Source organism: Homo sapiens, chromosome 12, assembly GCF_000001405.40.
Source record: "Homo sapiens chromosome 12, GRCh38.p14 Primary Assembly".
Classification (NCBI taxonomy): Eukaryota; Metazoa; Chordata; class Mammalia; order Primates; family Hominidae; genus Homo; species Homo sapiens.
In genome coordinates, this window is record NC_000012.12 from 100577336 (window position 1) to 100605282 (window position 27947).

A 27947-nucleotide genomic window follows, 5' to 3' on the forward strand; every position below is an offset into this window, starting at 1 on the left:
TTAATCTATCATGTGTAAAGGCAAACTGATCTTAAGTTCGTTAAAAAAATTGTATGCCACAAAATTTTTGACAAACTAAAAATTATGTCTAATATAAAATTAAGTTATTCAGGTTGGGTCTCTGCCAAACATTTCAAAAGGAAAATTTCAAATAAAAAAAGATTCTCAACAAAGTCTCTATATTTTTCAAATAACATGTAATGTTTTATTAAACTGTAAACATTTTATTTTTCTCTTAAAAATCTTTATCTGTAATAGAAGCATCTGTTGCATTTAGGAGTAATTCTAGTACTAATTTTAACTCTGATTTCATAGTGACATAGAAGAAATGAAGACTGTTAACCACCTTAAGGATCTTATTTTTAAAAGTATAGAGTGCAGCAAAATAGAAGCATATAATATTGCTATATCCCTAAATTGGGGAGATGATTCAGGGAAGACTTTGGAGGAATAGAATCTAGACAGGTAAGAGTGAGTCTGGAAAAGAGGTGTAAGAAGAGCATAGGTGGATCAGCAAGTGCGAAGACCTAGAGGTGAAAGCATGGCGCTTAGAAGGATCTTTAACAAGTTCACTAAGGCTGAAGTGTAAGAGTCAAGAGACAGGGCTGGTGAGGATCCTACAAATCTTTGTTAGCTTGGTTAAGGAGTTTGGGCTTTATCCTGAAAACACTGGGCAACCATTAAGGGTTATAAGCAGGGCAGTAGTAAAATGTCCTTGGATCAGAGTTGTGAAAAAATCATTCTGGCTGTGGTTCATGAAGAACAGGGTTGCAAGGCTGGAGAAAAGGTGACTGTTTCAGTAAACCTGGAGAAGGATGATGGTGGCTTGAACTAGAGGAGTGGCTGTAGGTATTGAGAAAATTTAGAGGTAGAAGCAACAAGATATAGTCACTGTTCTGGCTGAGGAAAGATGGGGCAGGTGGAGGTGTGAGAGAGGAGGGAATTAAGAATGTCCTGGTAACTTAGTGAATTTTAATGGTGTTCCCTGAGATGGTAAACACAGGCAGCCTCTGTAAACATATAAATGAGTGAATGGATGGATGAATGATAGATGTACAAAGGCAGGACCATTTGATGAGGAGGAGGATGATAGTAAATACATAGTACTTGCGGTAGGTTTAACCTATCAGTTTTTTTCTTCTTTTGCATGCTTTATATAGCTGGTGCTCTTTTCTTCATTATTTCAACAGATTAGGTTAGCTGCATCTTCTAATTGTATATCATATTTTGGATACATATTACTTTCTCTAGGTCAAGTGTCTTGGCAAATCTTCCTTTCTTCACGTAAGATGTGTATTGGCGGCAGCCGTGGGAGGTCCAGACACAGGTGGCCATGGAACTCGCTGGTAATAGAGGACACATCTCTTAACTGGGTTGCTCTAAGAACTGATGCCTAAACCATCTCAGCATGGCGTATAAAGGAGAAGGTGGGCATGGCCAGCCTCCCTCAGCTACACTGTCTCAGGTTAGCCCTGGAAGTCTTTACACACGTAGAACCCATACCCATAATATATGTATGGCATCTGACTTTTTCTACCCAAATATGGGAGGTGTGGAAAGCCACATTTACCAGCTCCCTCAGTGCCTGATTGGAAGAGGGGATAAGGTTATAATTGTCATCCATGCTTATGGAAATCGAAAAGGCATCCGTTACCTCACTAATGACCTCAAAGTCTATTACTTGCCTCTGAAAGTCATGTATAACCAGTCTATGGCCATGACCCTCTTTCACAGTCTGCCATTGCTCAAGTACATATTTGTTCAGGAGAGAGTCACAATAATCCATTCACATAGTTCATTTTCTGCCATGGCCCATGATGTTCTCTTCCATGCCAAGACAATGGGGCTTCAAACAGTCTTAACAGACCATCCCCTTTCTGGATTTGCTAAGGTCCATTCAGTGCTTACAAACAAACTTCTAACTGTGTCTCTTTGTGACACAAGCCGTATCATTTGCGTTTCTTATACTAGTAAGGAAAATACCGTACTACGAGCGGCACTGATTACTGAAATAGTGTCTGTCATTCCTAACGCTGTAGATCCTATTGACTTCACTCCAGACCCATTTAGAAGGCATGATAGTATAACTATTGTTGTCAGCAGACTTGTTTACAGAAAGGGAACAAATTTGGTTAGTGGTATTATACCCAAACTCTTGTCAGAAATATTAAGATTTAAATTTCATAATTGGAGGAGAGGGACCAAAGAGAATCATTTTGCAAGAAGTTCCGGAAAGATACCAGTTGCATGACAGGGTGCATCTTTTGGGAGCTTTAGAACACAAGAATGTTAGAAATGTCTTAGTTCAAGGACATATTTTTCTTAATACCTCCCTTACTGAAGCATTCTGCATGGCGATCATGGAAGCAGCCAGCTGTGGTTTACAGGTTGTAAGTACCAGGGTTGGTGGAATTCCTGAGGTGCTTCCGGAAAATCTTACTATTTTATGAGAAACTTCAGTAAAATCTTTGTGTGAGGGATTGGAAAAAGCTATTTTCCAACTGAAGTCAGGGGCATTGCTGGCTCCAGAAAATATCCGTAACATAGTAAAGACTTTCCACACCTGAAGGAATGTTGTGGAGAGAACTGAAAAAGCGTATGACCAAGTATCAGTGGAATCTGTGTTGCCAATGGACAAACAACTGGACAGACTTATTTCTCACAGTGGACCAGTAACAGGCTACATCTTTGCTTTGTTGGCTGTTTTCAACTTCCTCTTCCTCATTTTCTTGAGATGGATGACTCCAGATTCTTATCATTGATACTGGAATAGATGCCACTGGGCCAAGGGGTGCCTGGACTCATAAATGTTCTCACAGTAAAAGAGGGGGTGAGAATATTAAGATATCTAAAACCAGGTAGAAGAGAGCCTACATTGTAAGATTTTAAACATTTGTAATAGTTGTATTAAGACTATGGAAAATAACCTGCTTTTTGGGGGCTTGTGTTTTTTATTAGTTTTTTATAAGTTAATTTAGTAAGTTATGCTACTTCTATATCATTCAATGTTTTCTTTTGAGGAAAGATAAAAACTTAGGCAATTCCTGAGTGTAGAAACCTTGCACTTATTTAAAATTTAGAAGAGAACATTTAAACCATTCAGGTATTAAATTTTTCAGACTACTGAAATCCCTGTAGCAGAGATGTTTTAACATTATATTTTGAGAGCTTTGGGTGCTGAAGGGCCAAACATTTTCTGGGCATTTTTTTGGCCAGTTTTTAATGTTATGCCATTAGTTAGACACTCACTAGATGTTTACAAGTTTTCTTCAGGGAAGTACAACAACTATATGAACTATTTTAAGTCATGTTTATATACATTTATTAGAAATCTAAGTCATGCCTTTAAACATTTATTAGGTTCACTCAGTAGGTGTTAACATAAAATTAACAGGTTCCTTGAGTAAGATAGTCCATCAGTTACCAGCACATTTTGAGCACCTGCTATATGTGGAATGTTGAACTAGATGCTTCCTGCCGTTAAGGACCAGAAATGCATTAACTCTTTATCATTCAAATGGCTTATTTCATCATAGTCATGGTTGATATAAGATATATAGCCTACATGCCAAAAATGCTCATGCCAGTTAATGCCAGGAAAAAAATCACCGACACACTACTAGTACTTCTTTGATCCTGTTCTATGCATTCTCCTAGGTAGAGCCTTCATCTTCCATTGTGTTGATGAAGATATTTTTTGCTTTTTAAATACTAGGGACTGATATCACTGTTGATAGTGCAGAGAAACCCTCCATAATTAAGTTTTCTGTAAAAGCCTTCGTGTTTTCTGAGCAGAATGTACGAGGTGTGCCATCCCAAAACCAGCTGCTACCCTGTCCTTTTAATGTAAGTCACTCTCCTTTGCTGTGGCCTTGCTGATGTCTGATAAGTATTGTCAGTGTGCAAAAGGCTTTATTTCAGAATGTTTTATTTATAGCAAACCAAGTCTGAAAGTTTTAAGAACACAGTCTTTGTGGGTGGATGTTATTAACTGTAATTGTTGTTGCCCAGAGCCATGGGTTTTTTAACCCCAAATTATCCACATGGTGTGTATTATTCTTTGAACTTTTAAGGTTTTTGTGAGAAAAGGACTGTGAAATCAAAATAAGGAGGCACTTGTGGGTGCACTAGATAGATTCCGTCAGTATTGTGATTATGAGATTTTAAAAAATGACAAAATTCACAAAACTTACTACTTTCTAAAAAGTAACATGTCTGTTAACTGGTTGTACTGATATAAAAAGAAATATATTTGGGTTTTGTTTGCACTAAAATGCAAAAGCAAGAGTCCAGTTTTTAATATCTAGAAGTTAGGGAGTTCTTTTGTTGGAGAAAAATGGACTGATCTAAACCATTCATTCTTGTTGAGATTTTTATGTGTAGGAACTCACATATAAACATGAAATAACCACTGCCAATATTCACGGTAAAGTGAGAAACTATAACATTATTTTACTTAACAAGTTTTAAAGGCATACCACCGTTTTTTCCTTATTTTTTGCTTAATTTTTAAAAATTGTCATTTAATTCTTAAATTGTCATTTATTTGAGATGGAAATGAGATTTAAAGTTAGTTGCCTTTGCATGTAAAATATATAACTTGCAAATTAAAATATTTTTATTTTTTTGAACAAGTGGAAGTAAATTTGTTTTACATAAATCTTAATTTTCAACTTTCCTAGATACTGTCACACGTGCCCATGTTAAGAGACCACCAAACAGGCTTTGTGTGAGCAAGAAAGCTTTTCAATCACCTGGGTGCAGGTGGACTGAGTCTGAAAAAGGAGTCAGCAAAGGGAGATAAGGGTGGGCAGTTTTATAGGATTTGGGTAGGTAGTGGAAAATTACGTCGAAGGTGGTTTTTCCCTTGCGGGGCAGGGGCCGGAGTTACAAGGTGCTTGGTGGGGAACTTCTGAGACTCATTGTCCAGGAGAAGGAATGTGACAAGGTCAGTTGATCAATTAGGGTGGGGCAGGAGCAAATCACAATGGTGGAATGTCATCAGTTAAGGCAGGAACTGCCTATTTTCACTTCTTTTGTGGTTCTTCAGTTGCTTCAGGCCATCTGGATGTATACGTGCAGGTCACAGGGGATATGTGATGGCTTAGCTTGGGCTCAGAGGCCTGACAGATACCTTAATTGTAACTGTCAGTGTTGCACTGGTCAGTATTTGGAAACACATTGTTCTACCCTGCTACTTACATTGATTTGAAAGTTAATTTACAGTGATGAGGAATTTATGAAAAATATATTTCTTTTGATGTTTCAAAAGGTTGCCCATGACAAACTGATTTGTTAAAACATGCTACATGTTCAAAAATAAAGACCAGAATGACAAAAAAACCCAGAGTGTATTAGCTTCTAGTTACGGCTGTAACAAATTACCACAAATTTATTGGTTTAAGACGACACATATTCATTATCTTATGGTTTAGAAATCAGAACTCAGGGTCTTTCAGTGCTAAAAGGTGCTGACAGGGTTGTGCTGTGTTTGGAGCCTCCAAGGGAGAGTTCTTTTCCTTTCCCAGTTTCCGCTGACACCTGCATATTCCTTGGCTCCCTCCTCCGTCTTCACAGCCTGCAGTGTAGCACCTCAGATCTCTCTTTGATGCTCTTCCATCATGACTTCTCCTCCTGTCTCTTTGCAGCTGTCCTCACATCACCTTCGGTGACTCTGACCTTTCTGCATCCCTCTTGTTTTTCTTTACCCCCAAGAGAGGGTTCTTGGATCTCATGCAAGAAAGAATTCGGGACAAGTCCATAGAGTAAAGCAAAAGAAAATTTATTAAGAAAGTAAAGGAATAAAGAATGGCACTCCATAGGCAGAGCAGCTCTGCATCCCTCTTACAGGAACTCCTGGGACTACATTGGGTCCACTAGGAAAATCTCCCACCTCAAGAGCCTTAATTAATCTGAAAGGTCCCATTTGCTTTGTAAGGTCACATATTCACAGGTTCTGAGGATTAGGATGTAGACAACTTTGAGAGCCATCATTCTGTCTACTACACATGGAGTTTACTTAAGATGTAAAAATGTTTGTGCCCACTGGGGCAGTTGTATGAATTCCTGAGTAGCTCATTTATCAGAATCCTTGCCCCTTGGCAGAGCTGTTGTCCTGTTAACTTGGAACCTCTGCCTACACAGAAACCTTAGTCATTTCTTTCTTTCTTCCTTCCTTCCTTCCTTTCTTTCTTTTTTTTCTCTCAGCTCACTGCAACCTCCACCTCCCGGGTTCAAGCGATTCTCCTGTCTCAGCCTCCCTAGTAGCTGGAACTACAGGTGTGTGCCACCATGCCGACTAATTTTTTTTGTATTTTTAGTAGAGACGGGGCTTCACCATGTTAGCCAGGATGGTCTTGATCTGATCTCATAATACATCTGCCTTGGCCTCTCAAAGTGCTGGGATTACAGGCATTTGCCACCGCACCCAGCCGTCATTTTTTTTCCTAGTAATTCCTCTGGTATATCAGGCAGCTCACTTGACATGCTAGCACCTTGACCGTAATCACTGTACATATTTTACCTGGAATATGTTGGGTGAGAGGCAAAATTATGTATCAATTCAGGTCACGTAAATAATAATAAGAAATAATAAATGATATCAAAAAAGGTCCCCCGGCAGATGCTGTTCACTATGTGGCTGCTTCTAAACTTTACTGTCACATTTCATCGATAGCAGAAACATTGTGGAGAAGGGAGACAATCAGTTTTTCCTAGGGGTTTTCACATTTCTCCTACAAAAACTGTTTCCTAAACTCCAGGCTTGAATACTTCTATCAACTCTATTTCCAATAGCAACCCAGGAAAACTTATGCTTGGCTAAGCAGTGTATAGGAATAGCTCAAAATAGTAAAAGGCACCATACAGGCAAGTAATAGGGAGAAATGTGAATTCAAGGGCTAAAGATATAATCAGAATTAATTCAGGCCAATCAGGAAGGGCTACTAGAAAGAGGTGAATCAAAAAAGTTACAAGCCTAGATTAGTTAAGATCATGAAGCAACTCTCCAACTGTTTCTTCTCTGTCTCCTTTGCTGACTCCTTCGAAGTGTAAATGTTGGATTTTCACAGGTCTTGTTCTTAGACCCTTGTCACTTCCTTTTCCATTTCCCTCAGATGATGTCATTCTTTCCAATGGCTTTAACTCCCAAGTATTTGCTGACAATTTTTATCTCCTCCTGAATTTTTTTCTTAGTTCTAGATTCATATTTCCAACTGCCTACCCGACATTCCTACTTGAATGTCTTTTTTTTTTTTGAGACAGAGTCTCGTTCTGTCACTCAGGCTGGAGTGCAGTGGTACAATCTAGGTTCACTGCAACCTCCGCATCCCAGGTTCAAGCAATTCTTCTGCCTCAGCCTCCCGAGTAGCTGGGACTATGGGTGCTGCTGCCATGCCCAGCTAAATTTTGTATTTTCAGTAGAGACAGGGTTTCATCATGTTGGCCAGGATGGTCTTGATTTCAAGACCTCGTGAACCACCCACCTTGGCCTCCCAAAGTGCTGGGATTACAGGCCTAAGCCACTGTGCTTGGGCCCTACTTGAATGGTTTTTTTTTTTTTTTTTTTTTTTGAGACGGAGTCTTGCTCTGTTGCCTAGGCTGGAGTGCTGTGGCGCAATCTTGACTCCCTGCAAGCTCTGCCTCCTGGGTTCACGCCATTATCCTGCCTGAGCCTCCCAAGTAGCTGGGACTACAGGCACCCGCCACCACACCTGGCTATTTTTTTTTTTTTTTTTGGTATTTTTAGTAGAGATGGGGTTTCACCGTGTTAGCCAGGATGGTCTCGATCTTCTGACCTCATGATCTGCCTGCCTTGGCCTCCCAAAGTGCTGGGATTACAGGTGTGAGCCACTGTGCCTGGTCCTACTTGAATGTTTTTAAAGGCTTCCTGAAACAAACCAAAACACAGCACTCTTTTTTTTTCTTCCCCCAAGATGGAGTCTTGAGTCTTGCTCTGTCACCCAGGTTGGAGTGCAGTGTAGCAATCTTGGCTCACTGCAACCTGTGCCTCCTGGGTTCAAGCAATTCTCCTGCCTCAGCCTCCCAAGTAGCTGGGATTACAGGTGCCCACCACCACACCTGGCTAATTTTTGTATTTTTAGTAGAGACGGGGTTTCACCATGTTGGCCAGGCTGGTCTTGAACTCCTGACCTCATGATCCACCCACCTTGGCCTCCCAAAGTGCTGAGATTACAGGCGTGAGCCACCACACCCAGCCAACACAGCACTCTTGACCCATGTATGCTGTGTATCCAGCTTCAGGTTGTTCATCACCCTCATCTCAGTAAATGCTGCCTCTGTCTCTGCTCAAATTCCCTAAGCCTGAAACAGTAGTTCTTGACACTCTGCTCTTACATTCCTCTCCTTTACCCCATCATCTCTGACAGTTGCCAAATCCGTTTGTTCTTAACTCCAAATATATGTCAGATCCATCTCCTTTCCAGTGGAGACTGTTAGATTCTAGCTCAGTCACCATTGTTTGTCACTGAACTACTGCAGTGGACTCTTCCCTCTTCCACACTACTCTCCCATCTCATTTCTTATACAGTGTTTCTTTGGCTCTCACCTTTTCTACCCCTACTTGTTTCTCCTTCTCTCAGTGTTTCCCTAGTTCTTTTTCCTACATATTCATCCACTTTTCCCCCTTTTCTCTGTTAAACGCATCACTGTTTCACTCCACCCTTTCTCTCTCTTCCTCGGATTTCCTTTAAAACTGTGAATTAGATCATGTCGCTACTCTCTTAGTTAAAATTCATTAGGGGCTTCCATTGCATTTAGGATAATATCTGGTGAGGGACTTCAATAAACCACTGACAACACTAGACAGGTCATCAAGACAGAAAATCAACCAAGAAACAATGGATTTAAACTATACCTTGGGACAAATGGACTTAACAGATATATACAGAACATTTCATCCAACAACAGCAGACAGAATACACATTCTGTTCAACAGCGCATGGAACTTTCTCCAAGATAGACCATGTAATAGGGCATAAAACGAGCCTCAGTAAATTTAGGAAAATTGAAATTATATCAAGCACTCTCTCAGACCACAGAGGAGTAATACTAGAAATCAACTCCAAAAGGAACCTTCAAAACTGTGCAAACACATGGAAACTCAATAGCCTGCTCCTGAATGAGCATTGGGTCAAAAACGAAATCAAGATGGAAATTTAAATGTCATTTGAACTGAACTACAGTAGTGACACAACCTATCAAAACCTCTAGGATACAGCAAAGGCGGTGCTAAGAGGAAAGTTCATTGCCCCAAACGTGTATATCAAAAAGACTGAAAGAGCACAAACTAATACTCTTAAGGTCACACCTCTAAGGAAATAGAGAAACAAGAACAAACCAAACCCAAACCCAGCAGAAGGAAATAACCAAGATCGTAGCAGAACTAAATGAAATTGAAACAAAAAAATACAAAAGATAAATGAAACAAAAAGCTGGTTCTTTGAAAAGATAAATAAAATTGATAGACCATTGGCAAGCTTAATGAAGAAAAGAAGAGAAAAAATCCAAATAACCTCACTAAGAAACAAAACAGGAGATATTACAACTGACAACACTGAAATATAAAAGATCATTCAAGGCTACTATGAACACCTCTATGCACATAAACTAGAAAATCTAGAAGAGATGGATACATTACTGGAAAAATACAACCCTCCTAGCTTAAAACAGGAAGAATTAGATACCCTGAACAGACCAGTAACAAACAGTGAGATTGAAATGGTAATTAAGAAATTACCAACAAAAAAGAAGTCCAGGACAAGATAGATTCACAACAGAACTCTACCAGACATTCAAAGAAGAATTGGTACCAATCCTTTTGACACAATTCCACAAGATAGAGAAAGAAGGAACCCTCCCCAACTCATTCTATGTAGCCAGCATCACCCTAATAACAAATCCAGGAAAGGACATAACCAAAAAAGAAAACTACAGACCAATATCCTTGATGAACATAGATGCTAAAATCTTTGTAATTGACAAAATACTAGCTAACTGAATCCAACAACATATCAAAAAGATAAACCACCATGATCAAGTGGGTTTTATACCAGGGATGCAAGGATGGTTTAACATATGCGAGTCAGTAAATGTGATACAGCACATAAACAGAATTAAAAGCAAAAATCACATGATCATTTCAGTAGATGGAGAAAAAGCATTAGGCAAAATCCAGCATCCCTTTCTGATTAAAACTCTCAGCAAAATCGGCATACAAGGGGCATACCTTAATATAATAAAAGCCATCTATGGACAAACCCACATCCAACGTAATGCTGAATGGGGAAAAGTTGAAAGCATTCCCTCTGGGAACTGGAACAAGACAAGGATGCCCACTCTGACCACTCCTCTTCAACCTAGTACTGGAAGTCCTAGCCAGAGCAGTGAGAAAAGAGAAAGAAATAAAGGGCATCCAGGCTGGGCGCGGTGGCTCACGCCTGTAATCCCAGCACTTTGGGAGGCTGAGGCGGGTGGATCACAGGGTCAGGAGATCAAGACCATCCTGGCTAACATGGTGAAACCCTGTCTCTACTAAAAATACAAAAAATTAGCCAGGTGTGGTGGTGGGCACCTGTAGTCCCAGCTACTCGGGAGGCTGAGGCAGGAGAATGGTGTGAACCCAGGAGGTGGAGCTTGCAGTGAGCTGAGATCGTGCCACTGCACTCCAGCCTGGGTGACAGAGCGAGACTCCATCTCAAAAAAATAAAATAAAATAAAATAAAGGGCATCCAAATCGGTAAAGAGGAAGTCTAACTATTACTGATTGCTGACGATATGATTGTTTACCTTTAAAACCCTAAGGACTCCTCCAGAAAGCTCTTAGAACAGATAAAATATTGGGGGAACCCACCCCCAATATTTCAGTGTAGGTTCTTTCTATTTTCCATAAGTGTCGGCTGACTGAGAAATAAAGAGAGACAGTACAAAGAGAAGAGTTTTACAGTTGGGCTGCCAGGGGTGACATCACATATCGGTAGGCCTGTGATGCCCTCCTGAGTCTCAGACCAGCAAGTTTTTATTAAGGGTTTCAAAAGGGCAGGGAGTGTAAGAACAAGGAGTAGGTACAAAGATCACATGCTTCAAAGGGCAAAAAACAGAATTACTAATAAGGGTCTAACAAAGATCACATGCTTCTGAGGGAACAGAACAAAGGGGAAAAGCAGAACTAATAAGGGTCTATGTTCAGCAGTGCAGGTATTGTCTTGATAAACATCTTAACAGAAAACAGGGTTTGAGAGCAGAGAACCAGTCTGACCACAAATTTACCAGGGCGGAGTTTTTTCCCACCCTAGTAAGCCTGAGGGTTCTGCAGGAGACCAGGGCATATCTCTGTCCTTATCTCAACTGTGTAAGACAGACATTCCCAGAGCAGCCATTTATAGACCTCCCCCCAGGAACGTATTCCTTTCCCAGGGTATTAATATTAATATTCCTTGCTAGAAAAAGAACTTAGCAATATCTTTCCTACTTGCACATCCATTTATAGGCTCTCTGCAAGAAGAAAAATATGGCTCTTTTTGCCTGACCCCACGGGCAGTCAGACCTTATGCTTGTCTTCCCTTGTTCCATAAAAATCGCTGTTATTCTGTTCTTTTTCAAGGTGCACTGATTTCATATTGTTAAAAAACATGTTTTACAATCAATTTGTAGAGTTAACACAATTATCACAGTGGTCCTGAGGTGATGTACATCCTCAGCTTACGAAGATAACAGGATTAAGAGATTAAAGTAAAGACAGGCATAAGGAATTATAAAAGTATTATTTGGGAACTGATAAATGTCCATATTAATATGAAATCTTCACAATTTATGTTCGTCTGCTGCGGCTCCCTCCGTTTAGGGTCCCTGACTTCCAGCAACAATAAAAATTCAGCAAGGTTTCTGGATACAAGCTTAATGTACACAAATCAGTAGCTCTTCTATACACCAACAGCAACCAAACAGAGAATCAAATCAAGAACTCAACCCCTTTTATAATAGCTGCAAAAAAAAAAATGAATATACCTAACCAAGGAGTCAAAGACCTCTACAAGGAAAACTACAAAACACTGCTGAAACAAATCATAGACAACATGAACAAATGGAAATACATCCCATGCTCATGGATGGGTAGAGTCAATATTGTGAAAATAACCATACTGCCAAAAGCAATCTACAAATTCAACACAATCCCCATCGAAATACCACCATCATTCTTCACAGAATTAGAAAAAACAATTCTAAAATTCATATGGAACCAAAAAAGAGCCCACATAGCCAAAGCAAGACTAATCAAAAAAGAATAAATCTGGAAGCATCACACTACCTGATTTCAAACTATATTATAAGGCCATGGTCACCAAAACAGCGTGGTACAGCTACAAACATAGGCACATAGGAAATGGAACAGAATAGAGAACCCAGAAATAAACCCAAATACTTACAGCCAAATCATCTTTGACAAAGCAAACAAAAACATAAAGTGGGGGAAAGGACACCCTTTTCAACAAATGGTGCCGGGATAATTGGCTAGCCACGTGTAGGATCCTCATCTCTCACCTTACACAAAAATCAACTCAAGATGGATTAAGGATTTAAACCTAAGACCTGAAACTATAAAAATTCTAGAAGATGACACTGGAAAAACTCTTCTAGACATGGGCTTAGGCAAGGATTTAATGACCAAGAACCCAAAAGCAAATGCAGTAAAACAAAGATAAATAGCTGTAACCTAATTAAACTAAGGAGCTTTTAGTTTGTATAGCAAAAGGAACAGTCAGCAGAGTAAACAGACAACCCACAGAGTGGGAGAAAATTTTCATAAGCTATACATCTGACAAAGGACTAATATCCAGAATCTACAACAAACTCAGACAAATCAGTAAGAAAAACCCAAACAATCTCATCAAAAACTGGGCTAAGGACATGAATAGACAGTTCTCAAAAGAAGATATACAAATGGCCAATAAAAATAAGAAAAAATGCTCAGTATCACTAATGATCAGGGAAATGCAAATGAAAACCACAATGTGATACTACCTCACTATTGCAAGAATAGCCATAATCAAAAAATCAAAAAACAATAGATGTTGGCATGGATGCGGTGAACAAGGAACACTTCTACACTGCTGGTGGAAATGTAAACTAGTACAGATGCTGTGGAAAACAGTGTGGAGATTCCTTAAAGAACTAAAAGTAGAACTACCTTTTGATCCAGCAATCCCACTACTGGGTATCTACCCAGAGGAAAAGAAGTCATTCGAAAAAGATACTTGCACATGCATGTTTATAGCAGCAAGATTCACAATTGCAAAATCATGGAAACAACCCAAATACCCATGAATAAATGAGTACAGAAACTGTGTGTGCACTCCCCCCCACCATATAGATAATATATGATGGAATATTATGCAGCCATAAAAAGGAATGAATTAACAGCATTTGCAGTGACCTGGATGAGATTGAAGACTATTATTCTAAGTGAAGTAACTCAGGAATGGAAAACCAGACATTGTGTGTTCTCACTGATAGGTGGGAACTATGCTATGAGGACACAAATGCATAAGAATGATGCAATGGACTTTGGGGACTTGGGGGGAAGAGTGGGAGGGGGGCAAGGGATAGAAGACTACAAATATGGTGCAGTGTATACTGCTCGGGTGATGGATGCACCAAAATCTCACAAATCACCACTAAAAAACTTACTCATGTAACCAAATACCACCTGTACTCCAATAACTTATAGAAAAATAAAAAATAAAAGTAAAAAATAAAATTATGTATTCATTTAGGTATTTGCTATTTTCAGTCTTCTCAACTGGTATATTAACCCCATAAGGGCAGAAACATGTCTTTTATGTTCATCACTGTGTCTCTTGCCTATGGCGTCTAGTTCAGTAAAGGAGGTGAATAAATAAATAAGCGTATACCACATGAAAAAAGATCACAGCGCAAACAGTTAAATAGCCCCAGAAATAAGTATAACTTTTAGAGAGGACATTGAGGAGACAGGTTGAAGGGAATGAAGGGACTATGTTAAATAAATTCCTAAATATTTATTCTAGCAAAGTGAGTTGTCAGTCACAAATTTTTATCTGAGTGTCCTGCCAATTATGATGTGGGTATTTTAAAGCTTTTACTCTCATTTATAACTATATTTATTTTTGTGTTAGTAAAAGCAGCTTTCCAAATTATGCCTAATGATATCTGAGTATTACTAGCTTTGTTTTCTTATCTCTTTAATTGGATAAATTATATCAAATGAACTACAATTATGTCTCATCACCATATTCATAATTCATTTGTTAAGTGCTAACTGTGTATCTGGTACTTTATAGGTATCGTCTCATTTAATTTTTTACAGCAGCCATAAGAAGGAAATGGTCATATTTCATTTTACAGATCAGAACACTGAGGCTCAGAGAAGTTAACTACTCCAAAGTCATATAGCCAGTATTTTCTGGAGCTGTAATTCAAATCAGATGTGTTCAATACCTTCTACTACCCCATTGCTGTCTTTATGGTGAGTTATTTTAGTACACATTAAGAAATACATGAAATATGATTGGTATAGATATATTATTTCTATTTTCTTTATTAGGCAGTTAGGAAACATTTAACTCAAAATTTTAAAGCTAAGAAACTTTTTTTCTGAGTAAATCAGAAAGGATGTTTTCTTCAACTATTTTTCTAAATGAAGCATTAAAAAAGGATGAAATATTTTGACATACAGAAAGGCATACAGACTAGTATAATAACACCTTTGTTCTTACCGCTTATCTTGAAATAAAATCTTACTGGTACAGTTGAAAGGCCCTTGTGCATTCCTCCCCAGGGTCATTTTCCTCTCTCTTCCTCAGTAGTAACCGCGATCTCAACTTGATCCTATCCTTGCAGCTTGTGTATCTTGGCGATAATCTGGTGGCTGAGGGCTGAATGGATGGGTGACACAATGGCAATTAATGTTATTCTTTTTCCTGAAGAAACTTACCTTATTTCTTTGCTTTTTTTTGTTTGCTACTCTTCCTGGTTGACTTCAGATTTGTAACAGATGGAGCCATGACATTTTGAATTCTCCCCATCATACCGTATAACGTGAGAAAGGATTGAAAATGTGTAAGTTTCAGATCCTGTATTTTTGGGACGAAGGATCGGTTCAGTAGTTGGTGTTTTTAATCCCATTATGGTATGAAGTCAAATTAGAATGAAGAGCCTTAATGCAAATAATCTTGAGTACCTCATGACTTTTTAAAAATTTTTAAAGATGAGTGGGTTGGGCTCAAATTCTGGTCAAATTTCAGGTGGATGAGCACATTCTGTGTTTCCAACATTTTCCTCGGATTTTAAAAGTTAAGTATAGTATTCCTAACTTTGTATGATCTATGCATAAGAGTGTCTTGTGAAAGATTCCCAACAGGTTTAGAGTGGAGTTTAGACTTGGTTACGTGAGAGGTCTTCCCTCACCCTCGCGAAATCTAAGGGAAAAGACTTCCTCAAGTTGGCAAAGAATTGAAATAGGCTTCTTCAAAAAGACAGAAAGACAAAAACAAAAAATAAGGACAATATGTTGCTAATTAAGATGCAAAATTAAATGTTACTGGTTCAGTGTAACTGATTTATATGAAACAAATAGAGATTTTTAGGGAATGATAGAAAAGAGGAAAATAGGTAATAAAATGAAGGAGAAGCAAGAAATGTGATTGTGATAGTATCGAGGACTGGGGCTAAAAAGGTACTCTTGGGAATAAATGCCTGAGACACAAAAATATCTTGGAAAGATGATAGTGAATGACTAGAAAATACCAAAGACTGGCTCTTAGTATCTGTTATATAGTGAGTACTTATTACTTAATTGATGATTGACTGATAAAATCTCATCAATGAAAAGCACATGCTCATGTATATTATAGCTTTTCATGTATGAAGATACATAATAACTTCTCTGCATACTATTTTTTAAAGAATTTGTTTTTTAAAGTTAATCCAGATGGTTATATTTTTGTCATCTTAAAAGTAGTTTTTTCTGTTATGCAAGAAGGATGATTTTAAAAATGTATGTGAAGACTCTTGCTAAAGTTCAAGTGACCAAATATTGTGCATAAATTCTTTATTTCTTTCATAAAACTAATTTTGTTGAATTTTCCATAAAAAGTGCAGCGACTAAACATTCTTGTGATAGCTTCTTTGTGAATGTGTCACTGTTCTTGATTTGCACACGCCTTATAATTTAGGCTTTCTTTTGTTTTGGGCTGGCAGCTCCAACTGTTAAAGCTCTTGTCTGATTATGTGGAACTCCATTTTAATAGGAGCAGCTTCTTTGCTGCATTTTTAAAAAATGGTCTTGGAAGCTTCTTACTTCCGAGAAGTGGATCTTTGTTGCGGACAAAGGATTATTTATGCTAAAGGAAAATGTATTCCCCACTGAATTAGCTCGTGGGAAGCATAACAAGCTCATTAGGAATGCTCACTTGTACTTTGGCCTTTTGCTGTGGTGGAGAGAAGGGAAAATGACATCAAAAAGGACATTCTGTTGTCTTTTGCCTTCCTGCAAAGAAAATGTGTTATAATATTAGGCTTTTCAGTATGGTTTAGCTCAGGTTCAACTTTGGTACTAGAAGAAATGTTCCTGAAAGGAAAGTGGTATGTATAGTTGACACTGTGCATGAGGTATGTCTGATATAACTTAGAGGAAAAAATAACTTTTTCTTGGAAAGTAATAGCATTATAGCTTTGTAATTATTATATATTTTTTCTTAAAATATTTTAAAGATGGTTTATAATAAAACTAGACTAGCTTATTATGCTGCTATGAGCAATAAAAAATCCTAGGTTTTTATAGTCTATACTGTTGAATGTTTTTAAACTCTTCACTTTTATCCCTTTGAAAATATAGGAAAGAATTGCATTTACCTAATTCAATGAATTAAAGTATTTTTTTTCCATGTAGATTTCAAGAATACTACTTTGGAGCTAAAATTGCTGTTTCTTCTTTGTCTTTGGGAAATTATTATGGGGAGGCATTGAGCATTTTGGTTCACAGTTAAAATTGATGTTTATCTTTATTAGCAGAATAAGCTTATAGTCAAGTTTGTGAATTTATGCAAAGTGCATATGACCTGTTAGGACTTTGATGACAGTCAGATAAAAGATACTTGACTTTCAATATCAGTTGTTGTAATATTTATATTTACATTATATTCACAGGGGAAAATAAAATTCTGGGAGACTTTTATATGAGCTAAGTTTTGTTGATTTTTTTTCAAAACTGTCCAGATGGTTCAAGAATTACTTTGATGCTAATGCCAGAAAATACATATTATATTAAAGTCTGTTTCAGGTTTTCCTTTTTCAAATGAGTAGTCCTTTATGAAGTAAAAAGGAGTGATATGAATTTTCTTATACTCAGACTTTTCTAACTAGAAGAAAAAGTTTTGCGTTTGCAGTCGAGTAAACACATTCCTAAATCTTGTAATTTGGGGGTTTGGGGGAGTAGCAAAACTGCCACTGTTAACTGTATGTTAATATTTTGTTCTTTTTTCAGAAAAGAAATTTCATTTCAATATAGGTGACTATGCAGCCTGCAATTCAAGTAAGTTTTTTTCTTGGAAACAATATTTAAATTATGAGATTAATATAATTGAACTGTAATAATTAGCAAAGATAAAATTATCACAGTGTTCTTATTGTGCTAGTTTTTTTAAGCATCACATTTTAATAACACATACTATATTTTGACTTTCTAGTTCTCAAAAACGTTCAATTCTAAGCTTTTGTTTATACTGAATATTTGTAAAATTCAAAAATACCTTAGGGTTATCTCTTCTCAGCCTTTTGGCTAAGATCAAGTGTAAAAATACCTTAGGGTTGGTAGGTCTGTCTTATTTATACCACTGTGGGAAAAGAGGTGGAATATTTTGTGGTTTTCCCCTCATTACAATTTAGTATGTATTTACAGTTAAAAGAGCTTTCAGTGAAAACAAATATATGTTTTTAAATTTCAGATAGTTGTTCATGTGCTCTATAAATGCCTGTATATGACTGGCCATTAAAATTTTAAAGAGTGGGTTTTTTTTTTTTTGTTTTGTTTTTTGTGGAGGGGTGCAAGCTGGGTATAATGAGACAATCAGAATAGCCTTATATCTGAATGATTTCCAGAGTTGGTGTTTGCTATATTATTCTTATTTTTTAAGTTTTCTTTCTTTTGTATAAAAAGAACATGATTGAATATTAACTTAAAAATAAAAGTCACATTGAAGGTCTGCCTGGAAAGAAGCAAGCAACTGATAATAAAATTTGCCTTGGGAAGTAAAAACTTGCATCAATTAGATTTCAGTTCTGATCCTAGTTCTGCCCCTTTGATTCTGAGATTCTGGCAAGTTATCTTACTTCTGAGTCTCTGCTTCCTTACCTCTATGGTGAGGATAATAGTGATTAACTTGAGGGTAGTTTTGAGGAATCAATGAGATAACATGTGCAAATGGACTGCTAGAATATATATTGCCTGTAAGCACGTCAGAAGTTTGGTTGTATCCTTGATATGATAAAATTTTCCAGATATAAACCTAGAGATAGTACCTGTGTCATAAAAGTCAGTCTTTCCTTCCCCTCCTCCTTCTTCTCTTCTTTCCTTTCCTTTCCCTTATCAATTTAACAGTGGATGACAGCCTAGAGAAGAGAATTTATCAAATGGTTAAGAACAGCCCTGCATGTGACCCTGTTGTCCACCTTCCTATATTCTGCAGCTGTAGTCTCCTACTCTACTAAATACAGTTCCATCATACTTTTCCTTTTGGGACTGGGGAGTCCATGACTGTCTCCCAGAAGGTCTTATTCTTCCCCTTTGGGTCCTCTCACATCCACTTGCATATGCTTAGAACTCTGTTATTACTCAAAATCATTTTTGACCTGATTACTTCTATTCATCCCCTTTTTATCCAGTCTCAGGAATGTCATAGTTTCTTATCAATTATATTTTCTAGATTCCTTATAGAGTGTTTTCTATTGTTGCCACATTGCCCATGTTTTTTCTTATTTCTACACTAATGGCCATTTATATTTTCTTAACATGGTAGATTCTTTCATAGTTTGTCTAATGATTTCATAAAATCTTCTCTGATCCAGATTCCAAGATCTGTCTTTACTGATTTTTTTTTCCAAGACTATCCTCCCTTCACATGTCTCATGGAGGTTTTTGCTGCTGCATGTGAGGACTTCCCAGGATTTCCACCTCTTTCTCTGCCAATTATATTAGACAGTTACTTGGTTATTAAGTGCCTTGCAGAGAGGAGACATCCAGTGAATAGCTGTTATTAATTGATGTCTTACTAATTTAATACTTCAAGATATTTCTTGCCATTCATCTGTGTCCTTCATTCTGATTAATAAATAAACATATAAAAGCCAATGGACAATAGTTCTTAACCTTTCTGGGGTCATAGTCCCATTTGAAAACCTGACAAAGGCTATGAAGTCACTCTCTGTGAAAAGGCCCATTTGTATATAGGCATAAAATTTTGCCTAAATGTAAGCAAGTGCAAGTACCTAAGTTAATCTGTAGAGTACCCATGAATTAAATATCTCTTAATGACAATATGACAGCTTTCAGCATGTTTGAGAACAATCTTCATACATGCAGTTTTTGTTAATATCTGACTTTTAATACTAATTTCTACTGACTAGCCCAGGTTATTACTAAAGTCGTCTGCTTGCAATAATAGGAAAATCCAACATGTACTCTTCTCTCTAATGTGACAAGAAGTAAAAATGACTTCTTAAAAAATGTTAGCATCTCCATTTTCATACATGATTTTAAAAAAACCACCCTCTTAATTTATGCCCTTCTTTCCTTGACAAACATTTACATCTGCTCTGCTTTTTTTCAGCTCAACCAGATGGTTAATGGACAAATAACATATTCCATTGACTGTCAAATACAATTGATTGTAAGATACATTTTGATTTTGATGGTACAAAGAGTCATTTGCTAATATCTATTCCTCAATTATTGAACAAATATGTTTGAATACTATGTGGTAAGCATTACACTGAGTCTCAGGATTATAATAGAAATAAAATATGCTTATAAAGGGAAGAATTAGTAAAGCGTTACTGTACTTCCTTGGAAATAATTTTAAGAGAATTCAGGGAAATAAATAACATCATTTTCCTATTCATAGGATCCTCATATATTTAGGAATTCATTGCCCAATCCCTACCTTAATTCCTGAAGTAAATGTCCCTTAAATAACTTACATTTCTTTTTTGTCTTTGATGGGGTTTTTAAATTTACTTTTATTTTATTTTTTATTTTTTATTAGATTTCCCTACCCCTGCATGCTTCTTGAGTGTATTCATTTTCTTTGTTTGCCTTGGGGTTAAAAACAAAAAAAAAACTTGTTTATTTCTCATCATGGGAGATTGGAAGTAGTTTCCCCCATTCCCCGCCACCAGTTTGTTGCATTACCTATGGCATTGCTATAGCTTTTGATCTGGTATAGTAAGACTTGCCTCAAATTAACCTCAATAAGCTTAGTATATTTTAAGAGGAAAATGGTCTATATTTAAAAATCAAGAAAGGACTAGATTCACTTGGTATTCCTTTTACTTACAGTTCTTTTTTAAAAGTTTGGTTTTTTTAAAAAAAAATTTTAAAGCCATCACAGACTACAGAGTAGTTAAGTGTAGTACAAAGAAATTTGTTTGCCTGAGCCATTTGAGAGGAAGTGGCGACTCTAATGCACTATTACCTCTGAATATTTTAGTGTGTATTTCTCAAAAACAAGGACATCTTCCTACACAACCACAATGAAATAGTCAGAATCAGGATATTAATGCTGCTTCTGTACTACCATTTAATACGCAGGCCACTTTCAAGTGTTGCCAGTTGTCTCAATAATAACCAGCTCAGAATTATGTGTTGCATTTAGTTTTCATGTCTCTTTAGTTATTAGGCTGGAACAGTATCTCAGTCTTTGCTTGTCTTTAATTACCTTGATACTTTTGAATATTCCCGACCACTTATTTTGTAGAATGTCCCTCAATTTGGATTTGCTTGATGTTTTTTCATGACTAAACTCAGGTTATGCATCTTGGGCAGGAATTTTTATCATTGCCTCCTATCAGGTAGCATATGATTTTGATTTGTCCCATTATTGATAGAGTTCACCTCCATTATTTGGTTCCGATGCTGTCTGTCAGGTTTCTGAACTGTAAAATTACTCCTTTTCCCTTTGTAGTATTTTTTATGCAGGTACTTTGAAACTATGTAAAAATCCCATTCTTGTTAAAATTTCAGTGTATTCATTTATATCTGTGTTAACTCATAGTTTCCTATTTTATTCAGTGTGGTATAATCCATTCCTATCATTTATCTCAATGCTCAAATTGCCCTCAGTTCAGCCAGTAGAAGTCCCTTCATGCTGGCTTATGTGTCCTTTTGGCATTCTTTGAGAGTTTCTTTACTTTCAGATAAGAGATATTTGAATTCAACACCAAAGGATTCATTCTTACTTCTCTCATTCCATATTTGTACCTGTCTTCAGTGAGAAGATTGGCTCCCATTTGATAAATCCTCATGTGTGTTACCATTCTTTTATTGTTGCTGCCACTCACACCCTGGGTAGATGCTCAGCTCACTTGGACTCTGACACTCTGTATTGGGACGTTCCCCCTTTGCACCTGTTAGATGCCCTCTTTATCCTACTCAGGGCCTGACATCTTGCACAGGGCTGTCCCCATACCCGGATGCCCACTCACCTCACTCATGCTCTGACTCTCCATTCCAAGCCACCCCACTCTTGGAATCTCCTATGCGTTTCTCTTAGGCTCTAATATTCCTTTCTAAGTTGTTCAGTAAGGAGAAGGACAAGAGATATTTATATCTGTTTTAAAAAGTGACTTCATAATGACATGATTACTTCTTTTACCATCTGAAGAATTGATACAGCCTTTTCTATGAATAATCTTACATTAAAGAATAATCATATTTCAAAATTTGGCAAGTGTCGATTATAACATCTATAAAATTATAAAATTTATAGAGTGTCAGTTTTTATTCTAAACTCTCAGTTGTTCAGGTAGTATTTCATGCTTTGTGGACCAGTAGGCAAAATTGAGATACTACGCAGTTACTTATATAACAACCATTTTAAAATGTACAAACTATTCTTAGCTTCTGGGCTTACAAAATAGGTGAGACAAGATTTGCCCCATGGACTATAGTTTGCCACCCACTTGTTTTAAACTAAAGTACTTAGAAATTTTTTTAAAGATAACACTGTTATTATGATTTGAAGTTTACAAAATGCCATTTATGCTTCATTCATTCATTTATTCATTCATTCAACAAATGTTTATTGAGTCTCTGCTATCTGCTAGGCTCAATGCCAGATGCTACAAACATGTATTTTATAAGGCAGGAATCACTAACCCATCTTACAGCTAGGATGTTAAGACTCTGGTCAAGTAACTTGTTAAACTTACTCAGCTAACAAGTGAAGGAAAAATATTATTTGTTGAATTCTACCCTCTTGGCTCAATAGTAGAATCCATTCATTAATTCGGGGTTTTCTTACATTGACCACAGTATTGAATATTGAAAATGTCTTGGCTGGGCACAGTGGCTCATGCCTATAATCCCAGCACTTTGGGAGTCTGATGTGGAAGGATCGCTTGAGTCCAGGAGTTCAAGACCAGCCTGGGCAACATAGGGTGACCACATCTCTGCAATACATAAAATTAAAAACTTAGCTGGGTGTGGTGGCATGTGCCTGTGCTCTCAGCTACTCGGGAGGCTGAGGTGGGAGGATTGCTTGAGCCTGGGAGTCAAGGCTGCAGTGAACCATAATCGCATCACTGCACTCTAGCCTGGGCAACAGAATAGGACTAATACTTTGCTTCTAATTTATATATTTGCTGTGAGCCACAGCAGCTTTTTATATGTGTCTATTATGTATGATTTATGCTTCATCATTTAAATATTGATGTGGATTATGATGACTTTTAGCAAAGGTTTTATTCATTCAGTTGATTGATTTTTTTTTTCTTTAGGTATGGTTTGGAGAAGATCTGCCTCTAAGTCCTCGGAGTCCTCTGACTCCCAGACACGGACCAGGATTGGCTAATGTTTGTCAGTACGATGAGTGGATAGCTGTGAGGCATGAAGCCACTTTGTTGCCCATGCAAGAAGATCTGTCAATCTGGTTATCTGGTTTATTAGGTGAGGCTTGAAACAATACCCAAAATTGTATTATCTTATTCAATATGCATTTATTGAGAGCCTTACTCTTTGTCAAGGAGTGATTGTTACAGATGCTGGGGATACTCCAGTGAATGAAATATTCAGTGCCCTTGGTCTCACCCAGGTTACATTTCAGCTGGGGAAATAGTCTGATTCACCCTGAACCTTGGGTCTTGAATAGTAGGAAATTTGCGATTTAACCGAAGAGGTCAGTAAGCTTTGAATAATGAACATTTTCACTGTTAATATTAAAATCATCTTTAAAAATTGTATTGGTCTAATTTTTTTTTTTACTGATTTCCTCCTGCCTCGACCCACCTTAGTCTTGTATAAGCCATGAACTTTGAGTGAAACATATACTGTAGGTTAAATGATTACAATTTTTGAGGCATTGAAGGATACAGCCATATGAAACCTAGGAAGAAATGTCAGGTTGGAGAATGGCATTGTATTTTTTACTCTATTAGAGAATATGATGAATGCTTTAAGCTTTCTCCCCAGAAAAATTTTACTTTAAATAATTTTATGTAGAATTCTAAAGTTTTCCTGAAAAAGAATATCTTAAAAGATACAGCTCTTCCAAGATAATTAAATACCAAATACCCACTGTAGTTGTCTATTATCAGTTTGATGGATAATATTTAGAGTTTATTATGTAATAATAATGTTTTTAAAGAAGACATTCTAGAAGTAAAAAGTTAGTATTCCCTGGGTATTTGTTATGGTATTGTCTTTAATTTTAAAATTGCAACCAAGTCCATCTTATTTATAGAGACTGTTTTTCTTGTGCAAGGAATATTAATATGCAGTGAATTTATTTCATTTTAAATGAAATAAAATCGATGTCAGTTTTTCTGTACTTCTACATTACAGATATTTTTGTTTCAGTATCATTAAGTTAACTGGCCATTATTTGCTATTTTAACTGTACCTTCTAAGAGTAAGTATTTAGAGTCTGATCTGATATTTTTCTAGTGTTTTGCTGTAATCTGATTCTATTTAATTAATTTTAACCATATTGTTTTTATGTTTCTAGAAGATTCTTAACTTTGAAATATGTTTTTAGGTATTAAAGTTAAGGCAGAAAAATTATTGGAAGAACTTGATAATGGAGTACTATTATGTCAACTGATTGATGTTCTTCAAAACATGGTGAAAACATGCAACTCTGAAGAATCAGGGGTAAGTAAATGTTCGACAGTATTGATTTTATGTCTTGGTACATATTAATTTATGTACACTTCTTATCTCTAGAAGGTTGTAAACTTCCATGCCAACTGGCTATGAGATGTTGAATAATTTACTTAACCCTTTTCAAGATCTGGAAAAATGTTCTCTTTCATAAAATGAGATTAGATGTTGAATAATTTACTTAACCCTTTTCAAGATCTGGAAAAATGTTCTCTTTCATAAAATGAGATTAACAGTTCCTTAGGATTTATTTGTGAGAGTTCAATCAAATTAAATGGGTGAATGTATAGATAGTGTCTAACATAGTGCTTGATGCATAGTAGATCCAGCTCTTCTTGAGAACATTAACATAACTTCCTTGTAGAATTGTTGTGAGGGTTAAATGGGAAAAGAGCTTGTGATGGTTCCTGGCACACAAGTAGCAGCTGCTATTATTATTATTTTCTTCTTTATATATTCTCCATATATTGCATTAGTGGTAAATTTTATAAATATTGATTGGATAAATAATACATTTTTTAGACAGTTTTCATTCATTAACCCTGAAGTCATGATTTGAAGTAGATAAGGTTTCCTGTCTTTTCATCAAATGTAGGTATTCTCAAGAGTTTGGAGTCTGGAAATTTACACACAGTTGGTGGAAATATAAAGGAGTATCATCATTCTGGGGGATAGTGGATGATATGTGTGTATATATATATAATATATATATCACTGAAAATAAAGTATATCTTGTAAAAAATATTTTGTGGGTACATACTAGGTATATATATTTATGGGGTACATGAGATACTTTGATACAGGCATGCAATAAGTAATAATCACATCATGGAAAATAGGATATCCATTCCCTCAAGCATTTATTCTTTGTGTTACAAGCCATCCAATTGTACTCTTTTAGTTATTTTTAAATGTACAATTAAATTATTATTGACTGTAGTCACCCTGTTGTGCTATCAAATACTAGGTCTTATTAATTCTTTCTAACTATATATTTTTTGCACCCTTAACCATCTCCACTTCCCCCCACCTGCCACAACCCTTCCCAGCCTCTGCTAACCGTCCTTCTACTATCTCCGTGAGTTCAATTGTTTTGATTTTTAGCACCCACAAATAATTGAGAACATGTGGTGATTGTCTTTCTGTGCCTGATGTATTTCACTTAACATAATGACCTCCAGTTCCATCCATGTTGTTGCAAATGACAGGATCTCAGTCTTTTTAGTAGCTCAGTGGTACTCCATTGTATATGTGTGTCACATTTTCTTTACCTAGTCATCTACTGATGGACTTTTAGGTTGATTCCAAATCTTGGTTATTGAGAACAGTGCTTCAGGAAACATGGGAGTGCAGATAGTCTCTTTAATATACTGATTTCCTTTCTGTTGGGTATATACCCAGTGGGTTGTTGGGTCATACGGTAGCTCTATTTTTAGTTTTTTGAGGAACCTCCAAACTGTTCTCCACAGTGGCTGTAATAATTTATATTACCACCAGCAGTGTATGAGGGTTCCCTTTTCTCCACATCTTTGCCAGCATTTGTTATTGCTTGTCTTTTGGATAAAAGCCATTTTAATTGGGATGAGATATCTCATTGTAGTTTTGATTTGCATTTCTCTGATGATCAGTGATGTTGAGCACCTTTTCATATACCTGTTTGCCATTTGTGTGTCTTTTTGAGAAATGTCTATTCAAATCTTTTGCCCATTTTTAAATTGGATTATTAGATTTTATCCTACAGAGTTGTTTGAGCTCCTTATATATTCTACTTATTAATCCTTTGTCAGATGGATTGTTTGCAAATATTTTCTCCCATTCTTTGGGTTGCTCTTCAAGGTGTTGTTTCCTTTACTGTGCAGAAGCTTTTTAACTTGATATGATCCTATTTATTTTTGATTTGGTTGCTTCTGCTTATGGGGTATTACTCACGAAGCTTTTGCCCAGACCAATATCCTGGAGAGTTTTCCCAATGTTTTCTTGTAGCAGTTGCATAGTATGAGGTCTTAGATTTAAGTCTTTAATCCATTTTTATTTCATTTTTATATATGGTGAGAGATAGGGGTCAAGTTTCATTCTTCTGCATGTGAATACCCAGTTTTCCCAGCAGATTTTATTGAAGAGCCTGTCCTTTCTTCAATCTATGTTCTTAGCATGTTTGTTATAAGTGAGTTCACTGTAGTTATCTGGATTTATTTCTGGGTTTTCTTTTCTGTTCCATTGGTCTGTGTCTCTTTTTATGCCAGTACCATACTGTTTTGGTTGAAGTCAGGTAATTCCTCCAATTTTGTTCTTTTTGCTCAGGATAGCTTTTGACTATTCTCGGTCTTTTGTGATTCTGTATAAATTTTAGGATCTTTTTTCCATTTCTATGAAAAACATCATTGGTATTTTGATAAGTATTGCATTGAATCTGTAGATTGCTTTGAGTAGTATGGCCGTTTTAACAATATTGATTCTTCCAATCCATGCACATGGAATATTTTTCCATTTTTTGGTGTCCTCTTCAATTTTTCATTAGTGTTTTGTTTATTGTAGAGATATTTCACTTCTTAGCTTAAGTTAATTCCTAGGTATTTAATTTTATTTGTGACTGCTGTAAATGGGATTACTTTTTATTTCCTTCTCAGATTGTTGGCACAAAAATGCTACAGATTTTTGTATGTTGATTTTGTGTCCTGAAACTTTACTGAATTTGTTTATCAGCTGTAGTTGTTTTTTTTTTTTTTTTGAGTGTGGGGTCTTTAGGTTTTTCTAACTATAAGATCGTATCATCTGCAAACAAGAATATTTAACATCCTCCTTTCCAGTTTGGATGCCAAATCTTTCTTTCTCTTGTCTAATTACTCTAGCTAGGACTTCCAGAACTGTGTTGAATAACAGTGATGAAAGTGGGCATCCTTGTTGTGGTCCAGACCTTAGAGGAAAGGCTTTCAGTTTTTCCCCATTTGGTATGATACTAGCTGTAGGTCTATCATCATATGGCTTTTATTATGCTGAGGAGTATTCCTTCTATACCCAGTTTCTTTAGGGTTTTTATCACAAAGGGATTTAAATTTTATCAAATGCTTTTTCAACATTAGTTGAAATGATATATACGGTTTTTATACTTCATTCTGTTGATAAGATGTATCACACTGATTGATTTGCATATGTTGAAACATCTTTGCATCCCTGGGATAAATCCCAGTTGGTCATGATGAATAACCTTTTAAATGTATTGTTGAATTCAGTTTGCTAGTATTTTGTTGAGGATTTTTGCATCAACATTCATGAGAGATATTGGTCTGTTGTCTTCATTTTTTGATATGTCTTTGTCTGGTTTTGGTATAATACTGGCCTCATAGAATGAGTTTGGAAGTAATCCCTCCTCTTCTGTTTTTCAGAATAGTTTGAGTAGGATTGCTATTAGTTCTTTAAATGTTTGGTAGAATTCAGCAGTGAAGCCCTAGGGTCCCAGGCTTTTCTTTACTGGGAGGCTTTTTATTACGGCTTTGATCTTGTTACTTGTTATTGGTCTGTT

The 27947-nt window shown here is 36.6% G+C and overlaps 1 protein-coding gene and 1 pseudogene across 15 annotated transcripts in view; both read left to right on the top strand.

Moving 5' to 3' along the window:
* GAS2L3 (growth arrest specific 2 like 3) overlaps positions 1–27947 on the top strand; it is a 54605-nt gene that overhangs the window by 3652 nt on the left and 23006 nt on the right. For 4 of the 15 annotated variants that reach the window (XM_047428730.1, XM_047428732.1, XM_047428735.1 and 1 more), the window contains 5 exons: positions 14401–14521; positions 15039–15114; positions 17540–17587; positions 23047–23215; positions 24303–24418. In XM_047428730.1, the coding sequence (XP_047284686.1) occupies positions 17570–17587; positions 23047–23215; positions 24303–24418 (303 nt within the window). In that variant the 5' untranslated portion in view covers positions 14401–14521; positions 15039–15114; positions 17540–17569. Of the gene's footprint in view, positions 1–1251; positions 3847–14400; positions 14522–15038; positions 15115–15149; positions 16666–17539; positions 17588–23046; positions 23216–24302; positions 24419–27947 lie in introns of those variants that run through there. The other 11 variants (XM_047428733.1, XM_047428731.1, XM_047428737.1 and 8 more) reach the window with 9 other exon arrangements.
* PIGAP1 (phosphatidylinositol glycan anchor biosynthesis class A pseudogene 1) lies at positions 1324–5337 on the top strand (annotated as a pseudogene).